General features: G+C 39.1%; 1 protein-coding gene across 22 annotated transcripts in view; it reads left to right on the top strand.

Moving 5' to 3' along the window:
* Nucleotides 1-12,278, top strand: part of CFAP70 (cilia and flagella associated protein 70) — a 109,218-nt gene that overhangs the window by 65,576 nt on the left and 31,364 nt on the right. For 19 of the 22 annotated variants that reach the window (XM_047424551.1, XM_017015627.2, XM_017015621.2 and 16 more), the window contains 5 exons: nt 231-362; nt 4,016-4,141; nt 5,390-5,523; nt 5,649-5,764; nt 5,960-6,178. In XM_047424551.1, coding sequence (XP_047280507.1) covers nt 231-362; nt 4,016-4,141; nt 5,390-5,523; nt 5,649-5,764; nt 5,960-6,178 — 727 coding nt within the window. The remainder of the gene's footprint in view (nt 1-230; nt 363-4,015; nt 4,142-5,389; nt 5,524-5,648; nt 5,765-5,959; nt 6,179-12,278) is intronic. The other 3 variants (XM_017015629.2, XM_047424555.1, XM_017015623.2) reach the window with 2 other exon arrangements.

Genomic DNA, 12,278 nt, shown 5'->3' with positions numbered 1-12,278 from the left:
TCTGCATTGCTTCAATTAGTAATGATGGTGATGTTAAGGAAAGAAGAAATCATACAGAGTATGTTGATTGGGGGAAATTTGGAGAGCTGATAGTCTACCACCCACCAAGGGAGAAATCAATCGCTTTCTGAAATTTTGATCAGCTTTAGACCAGAAAGCCCTAGAGAGACCCGTGCTCTCAGCATGGTGCTGGACTGTATTATCAGATGGGTGATCTGTGTGTCTTGCAGCATGCTGTGGTAAAGATTGTGAGAGATAAATACTTGAAGACAACATCATTTGAAAGCCAGGAGGAACTTCAGACATTTATCAGTGAGCTCTATGTGTTCTTAGTAGATCAGATGCATGTAGCCCTAAACCAGGTAAGTGTCAAGAACTGAGAGCACTTTCTTTTCTCTGTAGAGCATCAGAGTCTTCTATGAATAATTCCTTCCTTTGTTTATTCAACGAATATTTATTGAAGTGTCTGCTCTGTGCTAGGCACTGAAAACACAAAGATGAGTAAGAAACTGCCTAAGCCTAATCAGTTTAAGACTAATTTTGGAAAAAAACAAGGAGATATGCTCTTTCAATTTCCTAGAAAAATAAATTTCACAACTTTAAAAAATGTGATGGAATTGTCAAAAATAGATTAAATATGTTGCATAAATTGTGAAATGAAAATTATCATTCTATTTATTCTGTGAACAGGTACAATTCTTAATTTTTTATTGAATATCATAAAAGCAGAGAAAAACTTTGAGTTTTCAGATATTATACCCAAATGACAGTGACACTTCAAACATGCCTTTTCTGTTTGACTGGTGGTCTGCTGTCCCACCCACTTTTCTGTTTATATTTGTAAGTCTTCCATCTTGCCTTCATTTGCTTATTTTTATTTGTATTCAGGGGTAGTTTATTTGAAACCAGTGACAAAGTCACAGTCTTTTTGTCCCCTGGTAGTGTCTAACCATCTGTGCCTCCTCAAATTCTTTATTCTATTTGCTTTTCCCTTCCTTGTTTTTCTTCTCTACCACCATCACCTCTTGTTTCACTTTGTTCTGTCTTTCTGGAGAAGGTAGGACAGGAGTGTCCAGCATCAAAGGATTAAGAGAACAGTCCTGCCTTGGGCATGGATGATTTGATTTGAAAAGCAATTGAGAGTGGAGCATGAGAAAAAGAAGTTTTGACTTTTTCCTCACTAGTAGCTGGGAGCAATACATTGAATTATTTTACACTGAGGTATAATATGATCAGGTTTACATTTGCTAAAACACTCTGATAGCACTATGGAGGATGAGTTAGAGGTGACAAAACTGTGATGTTAGTTGATTATTGCATAATAAGGAGGAAAAAGTTTAAGTTAAGTTTAAGTTTCAATGGGTAATTGATGCCATTCAGTACTTCTTGGTTGATACTAAAAAGAAAAGAAAAACATTAACCAGGACATGGAATGCAATTATGAGTAAATTTGGTGGGAGGCAGATGGTACTGAATTCGCTTTTGAACATAGGCTCTAGTGGGGTTTTGCCCAAGACAGAGATCTGAGCTAGAGATGAGATTTGGGGAGCTATGAAATATGGATGCTATGGTCATAGATGAACTGCCTGAGAAAAACATAAGAGAGAAGAGAGCTGGCAGTAGAACTCTAGGAAATACCAACATTTAAGGAATGAATGAAAAATTGAAAGAGACAAGTGGGATTGTTAAAGAGGCAAAGAGCCAGAGACAATGGTGTCACAGAAGCCAAAGGAAAAGAATTTTAAGGAAAAGTGGTCAACATTGTTAAATACTCCTAGGAATTCAAGAAAAACAAATCTAAAGTCTTCACTGGATTTGACAATAAGGAAGTTATTGTTAACCTTTACATAGCAATATTATTGGGCTAATGGGGGGATTCAAATTATGATGAATTGAGTAAATGAGCAATCAAGAAACAGATGAATATAAATTCAAGTTGGATGACGAAGGAAAAAACTGGAAAAGTAGTAGCTAGAAGTTATAGGGATTTTCTTCCCTCCCTCCCTCCCTCCCTTCCTCCCTTCCTCCCTTCCTCCCTTCCTTCCTTCCTTCATTTCTTTCTTTCTCTTTCTCTCTCTCTCTCTTTCTCCCTTTCTCTCTTTCTTTCTCGCCCAGGCTGGAGTGCAGCAGTGCAATCATGGCTCACTATAGCTTCAACTTCCCAGGCTCAAGCAATCCTGCCACCTCAGCCTCTCAAGTAGCTGGGACTACAGGTGCACACCACGCCTAACTAATTTTTGTATTTTTTTGTAGAGATGGGGTTTCACCATGTTGCCCAGGCTGGTCTCGAACTCTTGGACTCAAGCGATCCACCAGCCATGGCCTTCCAAAGTGCTGGGATTACAGGCATGAGCCACCCGCTCCTGGCCTGGGATTTTCTTTTTAAGATGAAAAAGACTTGAGCACATCCACAGGTTTGGGAAAAAGTCAGCAGAGTGGGAGAAGCTGAAAATTGAGGAAAGAGAGGGGATAATTGATGGCAGGCTCAGGGTATACACCTGGGAAAGGACCAAGAATTTAAATGGAAGGATTAACTTTGGAACAGTGCAGGCTGCAATACCTCTTTCTCTGAGACTGAAAAGAAAGCGATACAATAGATCCAGAAATAAATAATTTAGCTAGGGAGTATAATAGTTGAGGGATTTCTTACTTAATGATTTCTATTATCTCTGTGAAGTAAGGTCTTTACTGAAAGTGAAGGAGATGAGGATTGAATGAAAAACTTGAAGAAAGAGAAGAAAACTTAGATACTGCAAAGCATTATGGAATATGCTGCTAAGCAAAGACAAATACATAGATTACTAAGGGTATTAAAGGTCTCCAGCTAAGACTGAATGCCACAAGAGCTTGTGGCAGCTTAGATACCAATCTCTGTGTCTATGCAGTTTTCCTTAGGACCAGTTAGCTGCTCTTGTCTTGGAATGAAGAAGTCAGATTGTGCTATTGTTTTAAGTTGAGAATTTTCAGGACAAATGCAGGAGAAGGACAAGGATGCCTGAGATGAAAGTATGCTGGTGAGAAAGTAGCCTGAGTGGGTTATCATGAGGTTCAGACTGATCCATCTGGGAAGTGATGGGCTTATTGGAACTGAAGGAAATAAAGTCAGCAGTTTTCAGTGGGCTAAGTAACAAAAAGGTGGAAGACAAGACATGGAGTGTTGGTTCTGGGAGTGGGATATTAGAGTATTCTGTTTTGGGTGTAGAAGTGCATCGCTGCAGGGATTTGGGGGTCAAGATAATCAAAACTAAAAAGAACAGGACAAAAGTATTAATCAATGATCAGAAACTCTCTTTGGCCTATCTCAAATTTGGCTTTACTGTCCACATTTCTTAGCAATTATCCTTATTAAAATCACTGATATTATTTTGACTTCTAATTAAAGAATTTTGTGGACTCTTTCTTGACCATAGCTTCTGACTCAGGAGATTCCTAATTACACCAGACCTGCTCTCCCAATCTTTGTGTATAGGATATATTCTTTTTCTGGTTTTCCTCCTACCTTTTTGTTTCCTTTGAAGGATCTATCAGTCTATATTTCCTACTAAAACTATAGATTTGGCTTCTAAAGGTTTACCCTTAATCTCCTGTTTTCTTCACATTTAAAGACCCTAGCGAGGGCTTGCCAACCTTTTTCATGTCATGACACAAAAAAATGATAGTATTTGTCATATACACTACAGAAAATGAAGGAAGCTGTTTGAGGTCAGAGGTGACCTGCATAGGGACTATGAATGCCCTGAGGGTTGAGGCAGTTATTTCTGCCCTAAGCAATTTTTACTTACTTCCATGAGCTCAGACTGTTGGTATTCAGATACCTGAGCTTCTCCTTCACCCTTGACATTTCTCTCCTGGTTCACTCTTATTCTTTTACTTTTTTGGCAAGACTGTCATTATAGACATCAATCAGTAACATTTTAGACGTCATAACTGGATCTCACATCGGATTTATGCTTATGAAACCTCTCTACTTGTAATTGTTTCATTTTTGTCTACCTAACATCTTGACATTGACAAGACCATGCCAGATGATGTCCAAGGCACTGTTGCAACCATTTATACAAGCAGTGAACAGCTTCAACTCTTTGCATTTGAAGCAGAAGTCAATGAGAACTTTGAGATGGCAGCAGCATATTATAAAGAGGTAATTAAACATCTTCCCAGTGATTGTTACTATTATTTGTGAAATATGGGCATAATAGTAATTTTTGATTGTTTAAAATCCAACTTGATTGGTGAAAGGGTAGACACATAGAACAATAAAGTCCAAAAATAGGTTCCCACCAATAAGGTCATTCAATTTTTGACAAACCTAAAAGAAATTTAATGGAGAAAGGATAGTCTTTTCAGTAAATAGTGTTAGAACAATTGCAAAAAATAAAATAAACCTCAACCTTAAACATTTTACAAAACTCAACTCCAAATGGAACATATATCTAAATGTAAGATGTAAAACTACAACACTTTTAGAAGAAACATAGGACAGAATCTTGACCTGGAATCAGGTAGAGTTCTTAGACGTGACACCGAAGCATGATCGATCAAAGAAAAATGTGATAAATGGATAACTTTGCTCCATAGAGCAAAGTTAAAAACATTTGCTCTATGGAGGTCATAAGAGAAAGAAAAGGAAAAGTACAGATTAGGAGAAAATATTTATAAAACATATGTATGACAAAGGATTTGTATCCAGAATATAAAGCACTCTCAAAACTAAAAAATATTTGCACATAAGCATTCATATGAGTACCTATTTTTAATTATTTTGGCTATATACTTACAAATGAAATTGCTGAGACATACGGTAATTCTGTGTTTAACTTTTTGAGAATTTTGAGGCATTTCACTGGGATTTTGATAGGGATTGCCTTGTATCTGTAGCTTGCTTTGGATAGTATTGACATCTTAACAATATTAAGTCATCCAATCCATGAACATGAAATGTCTTTCCATTTATTTATGTCTTTCTAAATTTATTTAAGCAATTTTTATAGTTTTCACTCATCATGAAGTGCATTTTTCAGATTTGTAGATAAACTTATATTTGCCATCTGAAGATTACTGCAGAAATTATTATATATGGTTGATATACAATACAATGAATCTTTAGGCTCCCAAGGTATTAGATGAGTTTAAAGTGACCAGAATACTGACACTAGGAACAAATAGCTTGATGATTCAAATTTTTAATTATATTAATACTTTTTTCAACCACCTACTAAAGGCCAGAACAGTGATTGCACTAGGCATTTGAGATTCAGTGATAAGCAAAAAAGAAGTCACAATCTGTGCTTTCATAGAACTTACAGTATTTACAGTGTTTACCATGTGATGTCGTATGCATAAAAATAGGACATAGTATCACAATAACCTTGGCTCTCCTGATGCTTAGAGATTGGTCCGTGAGCCCCAGAATCTGGATCACTGGTTGGACTATGGTGCCTTCTGCCTCCTAACTGAAGACAACATCAAAGCACAAGAGTGTTTTCAGAAAGCCCTTTCCCTCAACCAGAGTCATATCCACAGGTATAGGTGGAAGGGAGATGAGGAATCAGTGGGAAGGAACAGATAAGTTTCTACGTGAAATTGTCTTGGTTCCATAAATGTGACATGGGACCGTGTTGTTAATCATGTTGGTGATCTTTTCTCAGCTTGTTGCTGTGTGGTGTCCTGGCTGTCCTGTTGGAGAACTATGAGCAAGCAGAAATTTTCTTTGAGGATGCTACTTGCTTGGAACCAACTAATGTTGTAGCCTGGACTTTACTTGGTAGATATTTTCTTGTAATCTGAATGTGTTTTCTCCCCATTATAAGATTTTCCCTTTTTCCTTTCTCTTCTTCAATGGCTCATCATGTAGTTCTTAAACTTTGGTAAAATATGGGAAAAATAAGTGAAATACAATTCTTTAGTATATGATAGTGGGAAAATAGTCATATGTATTTCAACATTTTTCTTTCCCCAGGTTTGTACTATGAAATTCAAAACAATGATATTCGAATGGAAATGGCATTTCATGAGGCCTCCAAACAGCTTCAGGCACGGATGCTTCAGGCACAAGTAACAAAGCAAAAGAGCACTGGTGTAGAAGACACTGAGGAAAGAGGGAAGAGAGAATCTAGTTTAGGCCCTTGGGGAATCACAAATGGTTCTGCAACAGCAATCAAGGTGGAAGCCCCAGCAGGTAGAGCCAGGGAATAGAGGTGAAGAGTGGCTATTAGAAAAATTACTGCCAGGTGTGGTGGCTCACACCTGTAGTCCTAGCAACCTGGGAGGCTGAGATGGGAGGATCACTTGAGCCCAGGAGTTCAAGGTTGCAGTGAGCTGTGATCATGCCACTGCACTCCAGCTTGAGTGACCATAATCCTATCTCTAAAACAAAATTTAAAAAATAAAAAGAAAAGTACTGGCCCTAAGAACAGAAGCTGGCACATGGTAGGCACTCAGTAAATATTTGTTAAATGAATGAATACATTGAGTTTGAGTTATTTCAGGGATACCAGGAAAAACTCTGAACTTCTAAATATTTCCTCATTCATATGATTAGTGGTCTGAAACTTCTACTGTTGAGATTCAATTGTTTTAATCTTAGAGAATTTACTGTCTTTAAAAGGGGCACCATTCTAACAGAGTAAATTTCATTTTTCCCCCCTCACTTTTCTCTCTACCACATAGAGTCCCTCTCTTATGATTCTCAAATGTATTTATTTATGTACTCCCTTTCCCCTGCTGTTCTGTGATTCTCTTTTCCTCCAGTCATTCTGTGTGGTATGTGTGTTTTTGTTTGTGTGTTCCTTGCATGTGTGTATTATTATTTTGTGTGCCTACATTTTTTAACAGTTTGAGGTGTAATTGACATTTCAAAAACTGCACATATTTAATATGTACAATTTGATAAATTTTGACATATGTACACAATCAAGAAAACATCACCACAATCAACATAATGAACATATTCATTGTCCCTAAAATTTTCCTCATGCCCAGTTGTGGGCATCTCTTTCTCTTGCTCCCATTTCCAGACAACTACTAGTCTACTTTCTATCATCATAGATAAGTTTGCATTTTCTAGAATTTTTGAATTCTAGAAAACACCTGGAATTTTCTAGAATTTCCAGAATTAAATAGAATCACACAGTATGTACTCTTTTTTATCTATGCATAATTACTTTGAGATTTAAACATGTTGTTGCTTATATCAATATTTCATCCCTTTTTATCGCTAAGTAGTATTCCATTGTATGGATATACCACAATTAGTTCATCCATTCACCTGTTGATAGATACCTGTGTTGTTTTTAGTTTGGAACTATTAAAATAAAACTACTATGGACATTCATCTACAAGTCTTTTTTTTTTTTTTTTGAGATGGAGTCTTGCTCTGTCACCCAGGCTGGAGTGCAGTGGTGAGATCTTGGCTCACTGCAACCTCTGCCTCCCAGGTTCAAGCAATCCTCCTGCCTCAGCCTTCCAAGTAGCTGGAGCTACAGATATGTGCCACCACACCTGGCTAATTTTGTATTTTTAGTAGAGATGGGGTTTCACCATGTTGCCCAGGCTGGCCTCGAATGCCTGACCTCAGGCAATCTGCCTGCCTCGGCCTCCCAAAGTGCTGGGATTACAGGCATAAGCCACCACGACCAGCCTCTTGTTATTTTTAATATGGATTTTGTTAGTAATTACCCCATTCAACTTGCATTTTGTTTATTTGCATCCTTTGCCTTTTTCTCTTGATAAGTCTTGACAAAGGCCTAACATAATCTTTTCAAAGAACCAGGTTTTGGTTTTGTTACTCTTCTCTATATATGTTATTTAAATCATTGATTTGCCGGGCACGGTGGCTCATGCCTGTAATCCCAGCACTCTGGGAGGCCGAGGCAGGCGGATCACAAGGTCAGGAGATCGAGACCATCCTGGCTAACATGGTGAAACCCTGTCTCTACCAAAAATACAAAAAATTAGCTGGACCCGTGGCACAGGCCTGTAGTCCCAGCTACTCAGGAGGCTGAGGCAGGAGAATCGCTTGAACCCAGGAGGCAGAGGTTGCAGTGAGCCAAAACCGCACCACTGCACTCCAGCCTGGGCAACAGAGTGAGACTCCATCTCAAAAAAAAATAATAATAATAAATAAATTAATTAATTATTGATTTATGCTTCTAAAGTTTAAGTATGTCTCTTTTTTTGAGTTTGAAATGTTGCTCTTTTTCAGTTGATGTTCATCATCTTTATGTAATCATAACAATTTTTTGTTGTAAAATCAATTCTATTAGCCTGGATTTAATATAAAATAGAGCCTGAGTCAAGAATTTAATGCTAATACTTTAATTAGAAGAGTTAATTTCAGAACAGGCAGAGTGAGGAAAAAACAGTAAGAGAGGCAACAAAGGATATGAACCAATGTAAGGTGACACCTTATGTCTACATTGGCCATTTCATTATGATAAACTGCAAAGAATGCAGCTGGTTGCTTTGCAGGTAAACTTGCTTAGTCTTGTGGGACATCTCCAAGCATTCAGGCTATATAGGGAAACCATGACTGAATAATATGGGAAGGAAGAAGGAAAGAGAATCTGTTATTTTGTCTCTTCTCTTCCGCTGGTCAAAATTAATCACCTGTGGAGTTAATTGGACCCATACTTCCAAGTTCTATAGTCTGGTCCATTTGGTACCTGCTTGAGAAGTCATATGCCATACCCTAAAGTGTAGAATTCTGTCCAATCCAGAAGTGGTGGGAAGAGCCAGGAACTCAGATTATGTGGCTGGTTGAACTAACTGTCCTACCAAGGGGTCAGGGAGGGCCTGGCTCTCTTTGGTGAAGAAATAAGTAGTTCCTAGGTAGTAGGACTCCATGAACCCAAGTGCTGGCAGTCAGCCTTAGCAGCAGGACTGTGACTGGGCCTCTCATAGAGAAGTAGTTGCCAAAGTGCCTGATACAGAGCATGCACCTGAGGGTCTATGGCATTGACAGAACCTGAGATATATTAGACAGGTAAGACACATCAATATCAATGTTTATATTATTATTTCTATAAACATACTATTCTCTGCTGAGCCACTTTCTGTATTTTTTTGTTCTTTTATAGCTTTATTTTTCCAAGAACTAAAAATTGCCTAATTTATTCAGAAAACTTAGTATTCTGTGTTCCTTTTGCCTTTTTCCCCCGCATGCTTCAAAAGTATTGTCAAGTGCCCATCAATGTTTTTGATATGTTTGGCCGGGCACGGTGGCTCACACCTGTAATCCCAGCACTTTGGGAGGCCAAGGCGGGTGGATCACCTGAGGTCAGGGGTTCCAGACCAGCTTGGCAAATATGGCGAAACCCGTCTCTACTAAAAAAACAAAAATTAGCTGGGTGTAGTGGTGGGCACCTGTAGTCCCAGCAGCTCAGGAGGCTGAGGCAGGAGAATCACTTGAACCTGGGAGGCAGAGGTTGCAGTGAGATCAGATTGCGCCACTGCACTCCAGCCTGGGTGACAGAGCCAGACTCCATCTCAAAAAAATAGTTAGATGATAGATAGATAGATAGATAGATAGATAGATAGATAGATAGATAGATGTTAAAATGCATCAGTCCATTTTTCCCCCCTAGAGATATTTCTTCCTCCAAAGCCTTCTATCTTCCTTCTTCAGTTCTCAGTGCTTACCCTCTAGGCCTGATGGGTAACTCTTCTCCTGGGATGTTCCTTTGCTGTGATTCTGAAAATCTCCTTTAACTTCAAGATGCATCATTTCTTGGATTCTGTGCCTTCCTCTTTCATACTTTGCTTCCTCATTTTGGTGGAGCACATCCTCCAGAAGCTTCCTAAGAAAAGTATGAGTAATAAACATATTGAGGCCATGCATGCATAAAATAAGTTTATTCTACAATACACATTAATAAATAATAAAATAGAAAAAATATATTTGCATATATCACCTAGGATTAAGAATATTTTCCTACATAATCAAAGCATCGTTTTTTCATACACATAAAAATGTGGTCATGTACCACATAACGTTTCAGTCAATGATGAATCACATATGTGACAGTGGTCCCGTGATATTATAATACTGTATTTTTACTGTACCTTTTCTATGTTTAGATACACAAATACTTACCATTGTATTATAGTTGCCTCCAGTATTCAGTACAGTAACAGCCTGTACACATTTGTAGTGTAGGAGCAATAGGCTCTGAAATTCCCATTTCATCACTTTTATTATAGTTTACTGTTCTCTGATTAAATTCTTAATCTGACCTTTATCTTCTTGATCACAGTGACTACTGTTGGGAACAGGCCCCCAAATCTGGCCATAAACTGGCCCCCAAACTAGCCATAAACACAATCTCTGCAGCACTGTGAAATGTTGTGATGGCCACAACGCCCATGCTGAAGGTTGTGAGTTTACTGGAATGAGGGCGAGGAAACACCTGGCCCACCCAAGGGGGAAAACTGCTTAAGGCGTTCTTAAACCACAAACAATAGCATGAGTGATCTGTGCCTTAAGGACATGTTTCTGCTGCAGATAACTAGCCAGAGCCCATCCCTTTGTTTCGGCCCATCCCCTTGTTTCCCATAAGGCATACTTTTAGCTAATCCATAATCTATAGAAACAATGCTTATCACTGGCTTGCTGTCAACAAATATGTGGGTAATACTCTGTTTATGGCTCTCAGCTCTGAAGGCTGTCAGCCCCAATTTTCCACTCCACACTCTATATTTCTGTGTGTGTGTCTTTAATTCCTCTAGCGCCACTGGGTTAGGGTCTCCATGACCGAGCTGGCCTTGGCAACTATAAAGTTTGTGTCCCAACCTCCTGTGGCACTATTTATATTTTCTCTCCTTTTTATTTGTTTTGGTTCATATTGTCAGGTATCCTTGTGTGTCTGGTTATTTTTAAATCATATATAGGACACTCTGTTGGTAAACTAATTTAGTTTGAGGGATCAAGAGGATTTTTTTGTTTGTTTGTTTGTTTGTTTTTGAGACGGTGTCTCACTCTGTTACCCAGGCTGGAGTGCAGTGGTGCGATCTCGGCTCACTGCAAGCTCCGCCTCCCGGGTTCACGCCATTCTCCTGCCTCAGCCTCCTGAGTAGCTGGGACTACAGGCACCCGCCACCACGCCCGGCTAATTTTTTGTATTTTTAGTAGAGACGGGGTTTCACCATGTTCGCCAGGCTGGTCTTGATCTCCTGACATCATGATCCGCCCGCCTCGGCCTCCCAAAGTGCTGGGATTACAGGCGTGAGCCACCGCGCCAGGCCAAGGATTTGAAGATGACTTATAATTCCTGTGAAGGCCTATTTCAGTTTCATCCTTTACTCTTAGAGTGTAGCTCTTTGGTATCTCAACTCAAATTCCTTCTGGTGGTCATTGTCTACCAGTGTCTGCCATACACATCCTTGAGAGTCAATCAAAAGTAAAGTTGAGCCTGCCAGACTCTCAGTCTCACCCTTGAAACTCATATACCCATGCAAGAAAATATAGTTTCAGGCCTGGAATGGTGGCTCATGTCTGTAATCCCAGCACTTTCGGAGGCTGAGATGGGTGGATCACCTGAGGTCAGGAGTTCAAGACCAGACTGGCCAACAGGGTGAAACCCCATCTCTACTAAAAATATAAAAACTAGCCAGGTGTGGTGGTGGGCGCCTGTAATCCCAGCTACTCAGCAGCCTGAGGCAGGAGAATTGCTTGAACCCAGGAGACAAAGGTTGCAGTGAGCCGACACGGTGCCACTGCACTCCAGCCTCAGCGACAGAGTGAGACTCCGTCTCAAAAAAAAAAAAAAAAAGAAAATATAGTTTCAAATGATGAACTGAAACCCTGGGTTTCTGCATTTCCTAGATGTGAGCTTAGAGAGTCTATCTGGTTAGCTCTCTGGTATATTCAAGCATGTTTTAAAAATATATATTTTGTTCACCTTTTCTGGTTGCCCTCAGTGGGAAATTGGTCTGAATGACCCAGTCAATAATTGCCAGAAGCAGAAGTCCTTCCCATCTACTTTTCTGTCCTTCAAAGGTTTTTTGATATTTCTTGTAGTTTACTTTTCCTCTTCTGTTTTCTTCATCTTTGTAGGTTTATACATTTTAAATTCTCATTTTAGTGAGATTTTCGAAATAAGAATAAGGAAATATATATACATAGCCTATCTACTCTGTTTAACTGGAAGTCTCCATCTTCTTCATCTAGACTCATAGCCCATGTCCAACACATTCTTCTGTTGGTAATTCAAAATAGCCCAATCTCTTGCCTGCCTTAATTTAACCTAGTATTGTATTTCTCTACTTCCATATATCACTAA

The sequence above is a fragment of the Homo sapiens genome, chromosome 10, assembly GCF_000001405.40.
Source record: "Homo sapiens chromosome 10, GRCh38.p14 Primary Assembly".
NCBI classification, from domain to species: Eukaryota; Metazoa; Chordata; class Mammalia; order Primates; family Hominidae; genus Homo; species Homo sapiens.
The sequence above is the reverse complement of the archived record's forward strand: the minus strand, read 5'-3'. Positions and strand labels throughout refer to the sequence as shown.